The sequence below is a fragment of the Homo sapiens genome, chromosome 12 (genome assembly GCF_000001405.40).
Source record: "Homo sapiens chromosome 12, GRCh38.p14 Primary Assembly".
Taxonomy (NCBI): domain Eukaryota; kingdom Metazoa; phylum Chordata; class Mammalia; order Primates; family Hominidae; genus Homo; species Homo sapiens.
The window spans coordinates 91,500,314-91,519,339 of record NC_000012.12 but is presented as its reverse complement, the minus strand read 5'-3'; the positions used below and the strand labels follow the sequence as shown (position 1 = coordinate 91,519,339).

Genomic DNA, 19,026 nt, shown 5'->3' with positions numbered 1-19,026 from the left:
AGCTGAAACTGGATGCCTTCCTTACACCTTACACAAAAATTAGTTCAAGATGGGTTAAAGACTTAAATGTTAGACCTAAAACCGTAAAAACTCGAGAAGAAAACCTAGGCAATACCATTCAGGACATAGGCATGGGCAAGGACTTCATGTCTTAAACACCAAAAGCAATGGCAACAAAAGCCAAAATTGACAAATGGGATCTAATTAAACTAAAGAGCTTCTGCACAGCAAAAGAAACTACCATCAGAGTGAACAGGCAACCTAGAGAATGGGAAAAAATTTTTGCAATCTACTCCTCTGACAAAGGGCTGATATCCAGAATCTACAAAGAACTGAAACAAATTTACAAGAAAAGAACAACCCCATCAAAAAGTGGGCAAAGGATATGAACAGACACTTCTCAAAAGAAGACATTTATGCAGCCAACAGACACATGAAAAAATGTCCCCAGTTTTAATTGTTGTCATCCTTACGTCCATGGAAACCCAATGTTTAGCTCCCACATGTAAGTGAAAATGTGGTATTTTGTTTTTGATTCCTACATTAAATGCTTAGGATAATGGTCTATAGCTGCATCCATTTTTTCTGAAAAGAACATTATTTCTTTCTTTTTTATGTCTGTGTAGTATTCTGTGGTGTAAATGTACCACATTTTCTTTAGCTAATCTGCCATTGATGGGCACCTAGGTTGGTTCCATGTCCACGCTATTGTGAATACTGCTGCAATGAACATGTGAGTGCATGTGTCTTTTTGGCAGATGATTTATTTTCTTTTGGATCTATACTCAGTAATGGGATTGCTAGATCAAATGGTAGTTTTAAGTTTTTTGAGAAATCTCCAAACTGCTTTCCACAGCGGTTGAACTAATTTACATTCCCACCGAAAGTGTATAACCATTCCATTTTCTCCATAGACTCGCCAGCGATTTGTTGCTTTTGATATTTTAGTAATTGCCATTCTGACTGGTATGAAATGATATCTCATTGTGGTTTTGATTTGCATTTCTCTGATGATGAGTGATGTGGAACATTTTTTAATATGTTTGTTGGCCACGTATATGTCTACTTTTGAAAAGGGTCTGTTTGTCTTTTGCCCCTTTTTAAATAGGGTTCTTTGCTTTTTGCTTGATCAATTGTTTAAGTTCCTTATAGATTCTGGACATTAGACCTTTGTTGGATGCATAGATTGCAACTATTTTCTCCCACTCTGTAGGTTGTTTGTTTACTCTGTTGATAGTTTCTTTTCCTGTGCAGAAACTCTTTAGTTTAATTTGGTCCCATTTATCAATTTTTGTTTTATTGCAATTGCTTTTGAGGATTTAGTCATAAATTCTTTCCCAAGGCTGATATTCAGAATGGTGTTTCCTAGGTTTTCTTCTAGGATTCTTATAGTTTGAGGTTTTAACTTTAAATCTTTAATCTATCTTGAGTTAATTTTTGTATATGGTGAAAGGTAAGGAAGGGTCTAGTTTCATTCTTCTGCATATGGCTTCTCAGCTATCCCTGTACCATTTATTGAAGAGGGGGTTCTTTCCCCATTGCTCAGTTTTATTCACTCTGTCAAAAATCAGATGGCTGTAGGTGTGTGGCTTTATCTCTGGAACACCCCACTCCTAAGAGCCTGAATTAGTTAGGGTTCTGTCAAGGAAACAGAATCAATTGGAGTATTAAACATTAAGGGATTTACTACAAGACTTAGATCTTACATAATTTTTAAAGGATCTGGGGAGTAAAAGTTGGTGCAGGATGACAAGTTGGAACTCACATGCAGAATCTGAAAAGCCAAGCAAGTCCAGCCACTGAAGTGGAACCATGAAAGAGATGGGTGTGGCCAGATCTATTGGAAGCTGTTGCCTTTGTGTTGGTCAGAATGTCCAACAATTAGGATGAAGAGCTGGGGGCTGTAGAATGATGTAGAACAAGGACGAAGAGGAAACCACCAGGCACATTTGCAATGGACAGTTGCCTGTCTATCACTTTGAAAAGTGATTCTCAAATGCAGATTCTCAAATTCATTCTACTGTATTGTGAATGCAGTAGAATGAGTTTCATAGTGATATCACATATCACCATGAAAACCGTCCAAGAGTAATAGTTACTGAGAGACTGATTTAGTTTTGCCTCCCAAATCTCTTCAAAGTTCTCTCTGTGTATGTGCCTCTCTCTCTGTCTGTTTCTCTCCCTCTTTATCAAGACTAACCCAGCACCACACAGAGAAGGACATTCTGGAAACATATTTCAGCTTAACTAAGTTGATAATAAAATGACCCAGCACTGGAGGGAAATAAATGTTTCTGTTGATGAAAGACTAAGACTGTTTGATATCCTTCCTTATGCAGGTCTAGGATTTAAGCTTTGCTGGGAGGCTTAGACAAGGCCAAGGCCATGGTTATGTGCCTTACTTCAAACAAGTGACCACAGTAGAATTCTGGGACTCTTGGACTTCTAGGATGTCAGGATTAATACACAGGTGCACATGACTAGCTGGGTTGGGGTTTGCCCTGATCAACATCCTATGCAGAGACTCCAGTGGATAGGTCATTCTTTCTTATGTGATGGTCTATATCACCCAGATCTCAATTTTTCTTATGTCCCAAGACTTTTAGAACTACCCCCACCCTATACAGAGATTAGTTCCCTAAAATAAAGAATTCAGTCATAACTATTATCTGTGGTGTTTTCTTTTGGCACTTCCCTTTATGAGACTGACAAAATATCTTGAACATAATAAATTCTCAATGTTTAGAACGCTGAAAAGCTAAGTGGAGAAAGAGCTAAAGATAAGAACAAGCCATATATCAAAGAGTTATAAGGAAATAGGCTAATCTATGCCTAAGTTCAAAAGTAAACACAGAGTCAAAAGTGAGAAGAAAAATAAAAAACGTCATAGACTAGCTACACACAGGAATTAAATAGGTGGCCAAGCTAAGCCAAAGTTAGGAATCTAGGAAAAAACTCCCAAAAGATGAACCAAGCTGACATCCATTTTTAGTAAGTAAAAATAACATGATTCATAGGCAAATGAGTATAAAGGTCCCGAGTTTCTGCCTGCTGCTTCTTAATTGGGTGACCTTGGATAGGTAATTAAACTCTTCTAAGCTCCCCTAAGCCTCAGCTTCTGCCTTTATAAGATGGAGCTACTTCATGGGATTTTTGTAAGAATGAATTATGATAGTACACGAAAAGTGCTTAGGGTAGCATAAAGGACTCAATGAATGTTAATTGCTATTACTAGAGATTGCGTTAGATAACATCAGTCTTTTCTAATGTTCTTAAAATGTTGTCAGAGTATAATATTCCTAATTTGTTCACTCATTCTCAATGTAGTAGAATTATAGTCTCCCTGATCTGATGCTGCAGCCCTGTGAGAACTTCTTTTTACATACATGGCTAGTGGTAGGCAGAATGGATAATTCCGTGTAAGGTATATGCATGAAATGTATTTCCTGAAATGCACTATACATACATGATCCATGCAAATTCTTTACCCCCATTTACCCCCATTATAAACCTGCTTATTTAGAATCTGATTGTGACCATGACCAAAATGTTTTGGTAGAACTACTTAATGTCAATGACTAAACATATTAGGAAGAACTTGGCTCATATTTCTAATTTGCCCTTGCTTTGTTTTAGAAATGGTTTAGAATTTACCTCCTGTTAAAAAGAATTGACTGATTGTAAGAATCATAATAATGGAGTTTTAGCTTTTATGACCTTCATGCCAGATATGATCCTTATGCTGGCAATCAAGTCATGGCTATTTAGCTTAGGCTGAATTTATAATAACTTTTGGATTACTCTGAATTAAATAAAAATGGTCCTAGGAAGAAGACTGAGAATTTAGGCAGCTACAGCTCTCTCTCTCCTCTCTCTCTCTCTCTCCTCTTCTCTTTCTCTCTTTCTTTCTCATCTCTATCTTTGCTTTGGAAGGGGTAATGTCTGAGTTTCTGCCCTTTCCTATTTCATGTGTTCTTTTAAATTATTATTAAATTTTTGGACAAAAAAAGATGTCTTTTTTTTCTTCTGAGATCCTTTCAGAACACATCCTCGGGGCTCACACATCTAAAGCTGCCTAAATTCTCAGTCTTCTTCCTAGGACCATTTTTATTTAATTATTAGGCAGCTAATGCCCAATTTATATTATTTGGAGTCTAGTTTCTCCAGTCTTTACCTCATTAGTCCTTATACTTGGATTCAGCTATAACAGCTTTTCTGTTATTTTACTTTTCTGCATGCCTTGTATACCTCTTTTTCCTTCTCCTTGTTCTCCTCCTCCTCCTCTTCTCTCACTTCTTGTTTACTGTGATTTTCCAAGGAACTAACTAGAAATTATCCAGCCTAGTTCATGATCTTGTCCTAAACAACATTAATATCAACTGAGTTTGCACCATCATTCAACGTTTACATAAATTTGCAACAATCTCCCTTCCCAGACGGTAAGTTTGAGGTTCTCAACAGTGTTCCAATGGCTGACATTCTCATGGTTTGCCTCTAGCCTTGAATTCCGATTCCCACTGAACTCCAGTTCTCAAGAGTGTCTCATCTCCAATGTTTGTTCATGACATGTGGTCCTATGCTGACCTATTCATCTCTGCTTTCTCCAAAATGCTACCCACACAAGTCATTTGCAGGTGCATCAGATTTTACCAAGAAGAGTATTGTATAGCAGCAATAGTTTCCAAACTGTTTAATACTGAGCATTAGACCTGTTCTAGAGGCTTTTGTCCATGAGCCACCCACTAGAAATTTCTTAGTAATCACAGAGTTCCTGCATCTCTGGATTCCTGCTTTGCTACATTTTTCTAGTCTCTTTCTCTTTCTTCTGTCTCCTCTCTCTCTCTCTCCTCTCTCTCTTCTCTTTCTCTCTTTCTTTCTCATCTCTATCTTTACTTTGGAAGGGGTAATGTCTGAGTTTCTGCCCTTTCCTATTTCATGTGTTCTTTTAAATTCTTATTAAATTTTTGGACAGAAAAAGATGTCTTTTTTTTTTTCTTCTGAGATCCTTTCAGAACACATCCTCGGGGCTCACACATCTAAAGCAAAATAGCAAGGTGTTTTTCTAAACAAAGACAGTGTTCTCTCTAAGGGGAACTCTGAGCCAGCCGTTAACATTACAATTTTATTTACCCTGCCACCTTCGCTTAAAGAACAAACCAATGAAGACCTTTTGGGATTTAACTTCTCCAGAAAAAGGCATATGTACATGGCAGGAATATTATCATAATATAATTTTCCTTAAAGGTTTTGGTTATGTCGATATTTATAATCCAGCTGTCCCAGTACACAGAACCATGTTAGAGAAAACTAGATTCACTGTAGCAGTAACACACACTTGTTTCTACTCATTATATATTCATATCGTTTTCACAAATGTCTGCCACTTTCAAACCTGAATCACTGTCCTCGAATCAAGCTTTCATACCTTTTTCTTATTTTCCCTTAGGCTGACTTCTTTTCTTATTATTCTAAATGTACCCATTCGCTTCTACAAGTAAAGCAGGTAATCTTCCAAATAATAGAATAACAAATAGAAAATGAGGTAATGATGCAAGGAGTTCGGCCACGTCCCTGGACCATAATAGGAGTCAGGTCATGCTGTTAGCTAGTTGTACATGTGTCTTATTAAACTAATTAATGACTCTGATTTTTCTTTATCAATGTGGTGTTCCTATGCATGCCCACTGCATTGTTGTCCCCAAGTTTAAATCCATATGGTTTGAAAACACTTTGCTCACAGCATTACTAAACACATGTTGATGGAGAGTCCCACTGTAGACAAAGATTATGCAAGAGCTATGCAAGAAATGTCAAAGACAAAGTGAATCATGCTGCTCTTCTGCTTGGAGCTGGGGTGCAAGAGCAAAGGTACAAATTTATGCGTGCTCTGCTTCCTTGTATATGCACACATTTCTTGACTCACTTATATGCATATGCATGAATCTGTACATTTCTATAAATATACATATGACAGATAATCAGGCTTCTGACTCTGCAACCCAATCTCTTGCCACATCCTTGCAGTAGCATGGAACTGCTTGGTGCCCAATTTCCTGCCTCTGTGACATGCATATACCATCTACTTTAACTCCAAAGTCCTTCACAATGACCCATTCTTCTCAGAGTAACACTCTCCTATCCTTCAATCCTCCTCCTTGGACGCAAATCCTTCAAGAAACCTGATCGGGGAAACACACACATAATCACATGAATCCTTAAGTTTTAATTTGTTCCTCTCTTCAGAGTGAGCTAGTCACAGCCAGGAGATGGCATCAGGTTAGATTATAAAAATGATCTGCAGTTTAATTATCTGATTAGTGGAAACCTTCACATTTTCCTCGTCACAGCCACCTTTGTTTGTTTTTATAGTAAGCAGCTGTGAAAATTTATCTCATATAATTCTTCCCCAGGGTCTCCCTTACTGATTACAATTCCTTCCAGAACTCACCCTTTGAGGAAGCCCCTGCTGCAATTACTAAACTGGCTCCAGGATGCTGGGTTACAACTTTTGTGAAAGCAAATGTATCAATGATGAGATGCAGTACTTAAGTAATGTGCCTCTCATCTTTCCATGGCATACCAATTACTGGGGGATTTCACTTTGTTTTTTTGTTTTGTTTTGACATTTGTTTCCTACAGTGTAGCAAAAGGAGAGTTGTGTTATGTATGGACTTCTAGTATCTTTCCTCATCCTAGTCATTGCTGGAAGTTTGTGGTACGAGATTGGCAACAGGTTCTGGTTTCTCCCCAATGCATGATGCTCCTTATTTTTTTTCATTTTAGGTTCTTAAAATCCAGTCTCAAAAACCCCTTTTGGCTATTTCAGTTGCCTCCAATGAGGTCCACACCATACACTAACATAAATAAATCATATTTTGAGGAGGTAAACATAAGTAAGCACACAGCTTACTTGCAATCTGTTCTTAATGGACATTGGTTTTTATATTTATGCAATTATGTGCACACAGGTATTTTAGAAACAAATGATGAAAAGTTTCCTAAACTATTGAAGTTATTGAAACAAAGTAAGGTCTCAAATGCACATTTTCCACAATGTATCCCCCCACCCCATTGCCACCGCCTCCCTGCCACACACACACAGAGCCACCTACACTGAGAGGAGTTCAAATAACAAAGCTGGCATTGTGCATATCAGCCTTATTCAAATAGTATCTGCAGCCCAGTTTCTCAGATTACTCTGCTTCCTACAGAACTAATTTTAAAATGAATCTCCCACTGACTTCAAGGGGCTTTCATCTCTTTAGGATGGTGATGAAGCCTAAAAGTGTGTACCTGGTACCCCAGGACACTGAAGAATGAAGTCTGTGTCAGCTTTGCCTAGCAGTTCTGAAGCAGCCCCAATTCCTTCCCTGGTGCTGACCATTAATCCCTGGGAAACCTTTCAAAGGGTTTTAAGTGGTAAGTTAAGAGAAAATGGGCCCCAGGAAAAACATCAAAATTTTATAGTCCTATCATAAATGAGGTTGCTTAGTATACACAGTTCCTTTTGTGCTATGAATACAGAATGGTTTGTCCTTAAGAATTTTACCTCAAATATATTTTTGTACAAAGAATGCAACTCATCTGTGGCATTATAAGAAATAACATAGGAAGTTGCTCTAAACTCAATATCTCAGCATCCTGGCACATAATAAACTCCAAACACCTTCCAGGAAATTAAGATTATTTTAAACTGCTGGACAAGATAAAGATGTAATCCTGAGACTAAAACACACACACACACACACACACACACACACGCACATACAGATGCACACAAAATTAATTGTGGCATAATTATTGCACAGCTGCTCCAAAAATTTAGAGGTACCCTGCTTTCTTTTTTATAGGTCCGATGCAATCTGATTATGCTCCTTGCTTGAAGTATCTCTGGTCCTTTAACCTCCAAAAATACCCATTCAAGCATGACATTTTCATAACTAATGACTAAGAATGGGGATTTGTTTGGTATGGTTTTAACCTAATTCATTCACTCATATAGATAAGACTACAATTGGGGGTTACCATAAAATACATTTCTTTTGGAGAGTAATCTATCAGAATTCTTTACCGTGCCTGATCTTGCTTCTCCCTTTGTTAATATTCTGACCATGTATCACCGGAGAAGGCTTTCTTCATTTGCTCAGATATTCTTTTTTAGGTATGTTCCTCTTTTCTTTCTTCTCTGGATCTTTCTCCAATTTGCTACTGCATTCATCTATTCCTTTTCAGAAATGTATTGTTATTTATTTTTCCTTTCTGCCATTGACACAAGTTTTTCTTTAAGTCATTCCTTACACTTCTAAGAAAATTAACTAAATGGCAGTTAGTTACATCAAATCCTAAATGGAAGTCTTTTCGTATACCTTGCTTTCTCTCTTCCCTATCTAGATGTATAACACTAATATTTGCTTGGACTTAAAATATGTAATGTACTTTTACATTTATAATAATGGACTACAACATTTTAAAGGCTTGTTATTAAGTATTATAATTTTATAGGTGAAAAATAAGACCAATAGATATTTTCAAATAAATACAAATAACAAAGAGTAAAAAGCAGATTTAAACCCATGTGTGTATTCAGTTCCAAAGTTTCTTGGTATCTGTTGCAACATAGTGCCTCATTCAACCAAAAGCTTCATAAACCACAACCCCTACAGAAATATTAGTGAGCATAATAATTCTAGATAATAGAAAAATTCTATCATATCGATAGAGATACATTAGTAAATAGTAGATATATGAATCAGAAATGTGTGAGTTTGAATGTCATTGTCTATCAAATCATATAAAGAGTTAGGATGTAACCCTGACAGATTGGAATCCTACTCATAGCTATTGTTTATTAAAATCAATTAAATAGTCTGTCCTTCTTGCCAAAAGAAGATAATTCAGATGATACACACTTCTTTTGGGATGACTTGTCATATCAGCAGGAAGTCTTATCACATTAGATTTAAAATGCAGACACTTTCCTTGAAATAGCTGTGGAATGAATTGCTTTCCAAAGAGTTTTGCATAATTTTAATTTGCCTTTTTATTGCTATTAATGGACCATCTGTACCTGTGGTGTTCTATGAAATTTAAAAAGAACATACTGTGCAAGTCTTGTAATTTAAAATGCAGAAACATATAACTAAATAAGCCAAGTCAAGTGGAATGAAAAAAGTATATTGATAAGTTTTAAAAATCAGTAACAATATGGAACATAAAAGCTGGGGTAGATATTCTAAAATTTGAACTAGCAAAAACTAATTTGGATCAACTACCTAATTGTTAGAATGCCTTTCCTCCCTAATTTGCACTCAATTTGTGAAGCATGGAGAGGCAAAAAGAATAAAAATCTTTAATTCCAAATCAAACACTTTTTCCTCTAATTGGATTAAAGTTATAAATCAGGATTAACTCAAATTATATGAATTAATCTAAATTATCAACTGATTGTTAGTTCACTGTGGAGATTCGAAGATATTTTATGGAAAATGTTATAGAATAATTGAAATCTTGAGTGGGGAGGTGTGATTCTTCCTATTATATCATAATTTTAATTCGTAGGCCTTTCTATTTTAGTTTTAGCAATTTTCCCCCTATAATTAGGGACAGTTCTCAATCATCATTGGTTCGTTCACATATATCCGTCATTCATGTTTCATTGGCTTAAACTGAATTACATGGCTACCTTAATTGTTAGCAATGCTGGGAAATATGGTCTCTTGTGTCCATCTTTAGGCCTTAAACATATGTACATTTCTGCTTAAAGAGATAAAACAGAGTAGATATAGGAGACTGTTGACAATAGCCTTCCCTTTGTATATCGTTTTTGCATATACAGAATGTATTCACCATCCTCAGTGGAGACACACATACGCCTTATATTTTCTGCATCCAGTTTAAAGTTCAGAATCTGTTACTAATGTGCAGTCCTCTTCTTGTGACACCCTCATCTATAAACCAAGAGACACGTTATCTCTTCCACCGATCCTCATCACTTAATGTAAAATTATGTATTCATAATTTTATAATTAATTAATAGAAAATTATGTATTAATAGACATAAAAATAGAAAACACAGAGCACTCAGTGGTCCAAGGCGGTTACATGTTGACATGTAAAAACTCAGAAATATCCCAGTCTTTGCTTAATTTACCCCAGGTTTTGCTCCCTTGGATGACTCTCTTGGCCATTGTCCTCCATGATTTCTGAAGCCCTCTGAAAATTTTTCTTGACATGCTATACTTTGTGGACAAACTTGAAGTGAGTTCTTGGGGTTATGCTGTGTTTAGGGGCTGTATAGTTTTTACACACTGTTTTTTTGATGATACGCATTTAGGAACCTAGCTGTATTGCTTGTAGGCCAGGCTTTTGTCTCTTTTTTTTTTTTTTTTTCTGAAAGCAATATTAATTTACTCCAAAACGTAGTGAAGTTTCTATTTGCTTTCTATTCAGTTCTGTGTGAAATTTACCATACTTGATGATCTCTCCCATTTCTTCACTCTTGTTTTCTGCTTCTGTACTAGAACCATCTCTCTGAGACTGGACTCTGGAGAGAAGTTAAAACAATTTTACCTTACCTTTGTAGCTGAGTAGAGCTTCCATTTTCTGGCTGAAAAGTACATATGAGAGGCTTTTGAGAAAGTCTCTGAGCAATAGTCTTATCTTCTGTTATCTTCTGCTAGTTAAGACATAGAAGCAGGAGATTTTCCTCTCGTAAGATGTACCACTTTTGTTCAAGTCTAGACCTCTGTCAGAGACTGATTCCCTTTGCAAGGTCTATTTATTTCTACTTCTACTTGCACATTGGCAATACTTACCCAAGCTATTCTCTCTCATTGTATATGGCTAAAAGCATCAAGGGGCAGATAACATAGACAAATATTTTGCCTTTACCTAATAATCTTCCTTAGAGCAAGAGAATTCAGAGATATATCTTCGTTTCATTACAGAAAACAGTTTTAGTAAATATTTTGCTGTGACCTAAGAAAGGTCATTAGCTTTCCAGCCTGCAATGTTTATGTCCTCATAGTCTGCAACTCAACTACTAAGAAAATGCCACATATTTTCTATGGCAGTACACCACTTTGGTACCAAGTTTTTCATTAGCTGAGACTTAGGCTAAAGATTTATCACAAAGAAACCTCAAAATACAGGATCTTTAATTAGATAAAATATTCCTCTCTTGTGATAAGTGTGTGGGCCCCAAGGACCCTGATTGACACAATGAATATATCATCTTCAACATGTGACTTCCATCTTTGGGTCCAAGATCTTCTACAGCTGCAAATCTCCTACTCTTGGCCAAGAGTAGGAGAAACAAAAATGTATTAGGCCAGCAGTCTTATCTTTAAGAAAACAATCTGGGAGTTTTACATATTGTTGCCATGCCCCACTGGCCTAAATATAGTCACTGACTAAAAGGAAGGACAGGAAGGCAGTCTCTAGCTAAATGGTCACATGCCCTGTTCACCAAAGTAAATTTAGAAGAACTTAGAAAACCAGAGGATACTGAAGGGCACAGCTTCTTTTCCACCGTTTTTTTGGAGGAAATTAACAAAGGTCCTCTTAAGATCCAACTATATGGGCTAATATACCAATATTCTGGTTAAATCTACTATGTCAGTTCCCATTACTATAACTCATTTCTAATCTGGAGAAGACTTTCTCTTCTTATTGGTGAAGAAATTCATAATTTCATCAATTGTTTGAAATGAATACTAACATTGTTTATTCATCAACACATATATTTTTAGTTTTATAGCTTAGCTTTTCATTAGTCTACTGACACAAATTACTTGCAAATATTAAGACCTTCACCCTTGTTTTTCTCCATCCAATTACTTCCAGACATACAAATGTCCAAATTTTCAAGCACATAGTTTTATAAAAGATGTGCACTCTTTGATTACTGGAAGAAAATTATTGAGCAACTTTTAAAGTAAGTAGTAATTTCTATTCTCATTATTCTTTCTTTTAAAACTTAATCAAACCATGATACATATGTACTTCATTAAAAATGTTTCTTGTTAATTCATTTTCAGTTCTAGGTTTAGTAAAAAGTATTTAACTATTTGAGCTGAAATTTCTGTCCCTATGCATCGGACCTTGTGCAGACATGTTTTCCTATCATAAATAATCTTTATTAACCTAGCAAAGTAATGCCACTTTGTAGACTAACTCTTTCACTTACTCTGCTACTCTTTTGTGTCATTCACAACCATACTTTCAAAGCTGTGTTCTGCAGAGCCCTGGGATTCTGTCAAGTTGATAATGCAGGAGAGAGGTGAGGGGTTGAATTTCCCTACTCTCAGCTCTCTAAATCCACTTCATAGCTAAAAGCTTGACACTTACCTTTGTTATATATTGGAAATCTGCTTAAGATTTGCTTTGAGAAAAAGTTCTAATGCTTAAAACACTTTTAAAAATCAGAAATCAATGAAGTTTTGTGTTATTATTTCCAGCTTCCTACAATTATCCTCATCTCATGGAAAAACTAGACAGAGGAAAAGAAAAGAGGCAAATGGAGCTTCCTTTGCTAAGAGCTCAAATAACTCTCCTCTACATAGTCTTCTTCAAACAAAAACACAAAGCTAATTTTCCATTTACTCTTTGAGAGTTCCACAGAAAAACAAGTGAGTAATATATCATGTTTCTCTTTCTGAAAGCTTTATATCTGGAGTTAGATAAGCCATTGTTACTTGATCAAATAGGTGGATATAGCCATGGAGATAAGCTAATATTTGCATCGGCATGACAACCACTGACTAGTCTAAGCGTAATAGAAGTCTTATTAATTATAATGGAAAAGTCACAACCACCAAGTAATTCATAGGTCTTTCACTGAGATGGTCACCTTGATTTATATCTTAACTAGAGTTCCTTAAAAATACTATGAAGATGTTATAGTTTCCTATATGGACAAGAACAATTGTACATTTTACTAGTCTTGAGATATCAATTTAATCTACTCCACTGAGGAGCATCTTCTGAAAATGTTACCATTTTAACATCTATTATTTTAGTATGACATAAGAATGAATAAAGAGTAAAAGAAAGTTGGTCCCTTTCTGAGTTCTGCATTAAACCCAAATCCTGAAATGAAATAATGCATATTTTACTCAATTTGGGTTTATAGACTGTCTCTGTAATGAACATGCATTATGAAATCTGTTTTTCAGCTCCTTCCTTTTGGTCAAGGGGTGGGGGACAATGTTAAAGAAACAAAGCAAAAGCTTGGGCTTTTGAAGTTTTAAAGCATTTACTTCCAAAAATTGAGTCAATGTAACTAGCATTTTTCTTAGTATTTATTGTGTAGATGGAGACAATGCGGGAGATGAGAAAGGAAAGAATACTAGGTGGAGGGCAAGACTCTGACATTACATTCTTGTGTTTGTCACTAAAAAGTCTTCAGTTTACTCATTTCTAAAGTAGTGGGTTAGATGAGGACAATTATTTGGACTTACTGGTCCCAAACCATTTCCACAAATATTTTGGTGGAAAAGGTTAATTACAATTATTCTCAACTTTAATGTTAGTTCTCAAATAAACATATTTGAAATATAATTTTTTTAAAAAAAAAGTCTGTTAAAGTATAAGATGGGAAAAATGCCTCAGAACCTTAAAAGTTTTATTTTTTATATACATTGAGCATTTTAGATTTTAATTACATTAATATTTTAATGTCAAAACCAACATTTGTACTTACATAAATGTCCAAAATTCTATCAATAGAAAGCAACCTCTTTATAGCTTTCCTTTCCTAAGAGCTCTTGAAAAGAAGTTAATGAAAGTCATTGTTGGTTGAGATAGGTCATGTTTTGTTTTGTTTTGATCTATTAAAAGAGTATTAGAGCAGAAATGGAGACTTAATTTTTCTTATTCATAATGCTACATGTCCAAAATTATATTTTAAAAGTAATGTATATATTTTTAAATGTGTAAGGTCATTTTCTCTTTTAGAATGAATATTGCTGATTAAATAATCCTAACTTTGTTTTTTAATCTTTCAAGGAAGTTACTTAGCATTGTTCAATCCTAGTTTTTCTAATTGCTCACATTAAAGAGACATTTTCAAACTCAGCCAAATGCATTTCTTCATAATGCTCTGGAGAGCAGGCACTTGACTTTTATTTTCTTGGACAGAGTTTTGAAAAGGCTTAAAGCATTTGTTTTAATTTTAATTCCTGAGACCTTTAAAATAACATTCTGGAAGAGTTGGAGGAGGTTTTCTACTATAACAGTAAGTTTCTTTGGACTAAGCCCAGTGCTGCTGCACAGCATTGATTAAAATAGTGAATTTAGAGCTAGTGGCTCCTTAATGTGCTGGATATACATTTATTTGGTACAAAAACAAAAAACAAAAAAAACACAAGATGACTTTTTTCAAAAACAAAAAAAAATTAGCAAGCAGGGACTTTTTTTGTGATTGTTCTAAAATGATAAATAAAACTTTGAATTGCTACCTGGAATGAACCCCACAGTGTATAGAAAAATAGATTTCTCCAAAGCATATTTCTAATAGATGTAATATAACCTTCCTCTTTGTGGTCCATCTTGTGTATCATTTCTCTTATTTCAATGTAATAGTTTAGAATTTATTTGTATTTTTATTATAAATTTGTGAGGATAAATAAATACAAATGGTATCTTTATATATTTTTATATTAAGGCCTGTCTGGATTTATATATGTAAAATGTAATCCATTTGCTTAATTACTGGTTTCAGTCTAAATATATTTTATTTGCACATATGAAACCAAAAATATACAAAGTGATTAGGTCTGCCTCTATTCAACATATGAATTAGTTCAGAATTCTTTCCACTATGCCTTCGAACTCAACGCATTCTATGTTCCCTGTTTGGAACACAAGGATTGTTTGAGGAAAGCATAGTTTGGCTGAATTTTACCCTTCAGGTAAATCTTTGAAATTCAGTTTATCCCAAAAGTTATATACCAGGTTGATTATGTTTATTACTCTAAGTACAAATGCAGCTTAAAAGCTATGGTAATTTCTTACGAGGCAGTAACCCACTACCTGCAGTAGAAAGAGTACAGACTTCTAATTTTGCTCTTCATTCACCATGCTTACATGGGCAAATCTTACAGTCTTCAAGAGCTTCAGCTTCCACATCTGCAAAAGGGGATATTGTAAAGATAATGTTAAAAAGGTAATGTATGTAACATAGTCATCTCAACTGGAAACTCAGAATAAGTTTCTCTTAGAACCATTCTGCCCAGTCCATTACCTCTAAATGCCTGGTGGATTATAATACTTGCATCTAAAATTGTTCTGAGATAAATAAGAAAGAAAATAATCACAACCGAAAGCTTTATTTCCTATAGAACTACCCCAAACAGAGGCAGGTGAAAAGTGTTGAAACACACTATCTGACTGGCACAAGGTGATACCATTGCATGTGGAGTTGAACAGAGATGTGCATTCATATGGGGTGCTGGTTTCCTTGGAATCACCCTACTGAGGTGTTGAGAACTCCACTCTAACTTCTATGGGTACCACCTCTCAAGTGCTCATTTCTAAAGATGATTTATTTTATTAAAATATAACACGTAATTATTATAAATTTTTTTAGTAAAAGTAGACAAGAACAAAAAGAAAATACACTTTATACAGGTGACCTCTATTAATATTTTGCTATATATTTTCTATTTTCTCTATGAGCATATGTGCACATATAATTGAGCTCCTACTGTAGATAACTTTATAGTCTACTCTTCATCATAGTATCAAACAATTTGTGAAAATATCATTTAAACTTGATATGTAATTATCTATGAAGCAAATTTAGCATAATTTTTAATCATTGTCCTATTGTGGGACATAAAATTGTTTTCAACTTTTTGCTATGTAAAATAATACTCAGATCAACAATCTGGTGCATAAGCTCTGTCTATATTTTTTATTATTTATATTCTGAAATATTTCTAGAAATTGTGTGGACAAAGGATTTAAATATATTTAAATTATTGACAAACGTTATTAAATGCCTTGTGTATGTAGTGAAGCATCTTACATTCTCATTGATACTGAAACAATTTATATTCTCACTGACATTATTTAGAGTGTTCATTGTACTATCCCCTTACCAGAGCTATTACCATTACACAGATACACACATACTCGTACAACTCACACACATACACACATATGCTTGTAGGTATAACTTTTTTAGGAGCTATTTATTCAAGGCACTATAATGATATGGGCAGGAGACACGGAAATACTGGGTAGAAGTGGGCAGTTCCTCAGCAAAGGCCTCACCCTCAAGCCTGGAGACTTGTGGCCCTAAATGGGGGCAGGCATTCCTGTTTTTGCATCAAAAGGTTGCCTTTTGGCCCACCATGTTTCCTATCCTGTACCCATATAAACCCCAAACTCCAGGCTCCAGAAGCAGACAAAGAGATGAGGAGACAAGCCGGTGAATGGCAGAATGGCACAGCCGAGAAAGAGAAAGAAGAGAAGTAACATCTGAACACCAAGAAGAGTTTGGCTGAGGGCATTCAGAGAGGATTTAGTCCACTGGATGGCCAAACTCCAGGGGAAGATCATCTTCCCACTCTATCCCCTTTCCAGCTCCTCATACATCTAGCTGAAAGCCACCTCCACCACTCAATAAAACCCCAATTTCATCCTTCAAGCCCATGTGTGACCCAATTCTTCCAGGACTCTGGGCAAGAGTTCAGGATACAGAAAGTTGTCACACTGGCCCGCTGCCCTTGCAAAGTTGTCACACTAGCCCTCTGCCCTTGCAAAAAGAGGGTCTGTTGAGTTGGTTAACACTTAAGCTGTCTGTGGACAGCAAGGTTAAAAGAGCTAAAAGAGCATTGTAACACTGGGGCTGCAGGCACCCACCCCTAGATACTGCCACGGGGCTGGAGCCCAAAGCACTCGCCCCACCTCTTGCACCTGACCATCTGCGTGGTCTGCCTCCCATCAGGGGTTTGAGTAGCAGCAGCGACCAACAGGCAAGCCACACCTCTGTTACACATCCTGTAAGGGGGATCAGGGAACTCTCCCATTTCAGTAACACTTTTGTTTTCCTTCCTAATATTTAGTTTCATTAACACAACTGATTTTTCCTATCAATAAATGAACAAAGCCTCTTACCATCTTTCAGTATGATCTGTATCCTAGGTTTCTATATTTAATATTTGTGTAAAGCTATTCTTTAATATATCAGCTGATGCCTGGGGCTATCAACATGATGAGCTGTGTTCCTAGATGAGTTCTAATGTAAATTTTACTACAACTAGAATTTTCTTGTCAAATTAAGCAAAGTAGAAACTAGAATAAAATTACTATGTAAATTAGTATAATGAGAATTAAATTAAAGTTTTGGAATATTGACAATGAAAATACTCTCATTCATTGAAAACAGAGCCCCTTAATAATAAAGATTTCAAGGGACAAGACTAATACATTCTTTCCCACAGGCTAATTGTATTTAAATATGTTTATATAATATTACAGGAGTCTCTATTTCTAGAGATCTAATTCAAACCCAGTATGCTTGCTCTCATAGAATGGAAATGAGACAAATTCATATGGATTTGAGTCCTAGTTTGTTTACTCATTGTCTTTGTGACTATGGTCAAGTTACTTAATTTCTGTAATTTTACAATTTCATATCCTTTAAATAAATAAGAAAATGCCTGTTTCCCAGAGCTATTAAAAAGATCAGATTAAAAATGCATATATAAATATTTTGGACATAATAAATATGCAAAATAGCAATTCTGTATATGAGACTTAGTTTTTTATGAGGTAATGAGAGCACCACTTTGGGTGAGGCTTCCTTAAGGAAAAGTATGTTTACTACTCCATAGGCTACAATTTCAGAAACATTTCTTATTCAGAAATTCCAATTCCTGGATCATTCTTCAAGATAACAAAACTTCTCCTTCTTTCCAGAAACCTTAATTTTGCCTGTTTTATGATCAAGAATTTTAATTTTTGTTCTTTAAAATGAATTTCTTAATCTCTGAAGACTTCAGTATTTGGTCAGGTTCCACCTACATTTCGGAAGTAAATTATGAGCCATACAAAAATTTAAAAACAGTGTTGAAGACCTCAAGAAGGTATTTCTTTCTCTGGCAAGTTGTAGAATCTCAATAGCTTCTGTGTTCAAAGAACCTTTAAAACATTTGTAGATTGTATTTGGAGGCTGAACATTTTTCAAATTTCGTCCATAAGCAAAATTTTAAATGGTTTCCTTTGCTAAGATACTATGGAGAAAAAGACTTTAAAAATAGAAAAAAAATTAATACATAGTTCATGAGAAATGTTTTTATTCTCCTACTAGAAGTTTATGATCATTTGTTCTCTCTTCTTCCTTATAATCTCATAACACAAACACAGTCTTGCCATTTTCAGAGTTACTTTGGAGTTCTTTCACATTCAGGCTTCCAAGGTTTCTTGAGTGGCAATTCGGTCACTTGGAAATCCATGTAAGAATATCCTTTGTTAATGCCAATTCAAATATGAGAAAGATCAGACTGACAAAAAGAAGCTTAAATTGCAGCTGGAGGGAATTAGATGAGACCAAAAAAATACCTTTAACAGTAAGTTTTTTTAGCCTTTGAAATAGATTTTAAGGAATATGTCACTTTTTTTTAGAAATATTTCAGGAAATCTTAGAAAAATGGCCTAGATGTTTCTCATTTTTATTAGGGAATAATAAATATTAATGAATGGATGCCCCAATTTCTTTTTTATTTATTCAAAGCCCAGTTTAATTTGCTGCTGGTTAACTTGAATGTTATTACAAATTGTTATTGCATCCCTACTGGGAGCAGTAACATGTCTTGAGCTGTAACAATATGATCTATGTAAACTCTTTTCATTTTATCTTTGAAAGTTAAAATTGATCTTGTATTACCAGTCCTACTCTCTTATAGAAATTCTTCAGTGACAGCTGTATTTGAGGGCCTTATTCTTTGCTAATTATTTATCTACCATTCAATGTACCCCGTCATCTCATTTTGTATACTGCAAAGTACTAAATAGTTA

The 19,026-nt window shown here is 35.2% G+C and overlaps 1 long non-coding RNA gene across 1 annotated transcript in view; it reads left to right on the top strand.

Moving 5' to 3' along the window:
• Positions 1 to 19,026, top strand: part of LOC105369896 (uncharacterized) — a 361,170-nt gene that overhangs the window by 118,055 nt on the left and 224,089 nt on the right. The window contains exon 2 of the long non-coding RNA XR_001749251.2: positions 12,459 to 12,629. This is a non-coding gene — a long non-coding RNA (uncharacterized LOC105369896). The remainder of the gene's footprint in view (positions 1 to 12,458; positions 12,630 to 19,026) is intronic.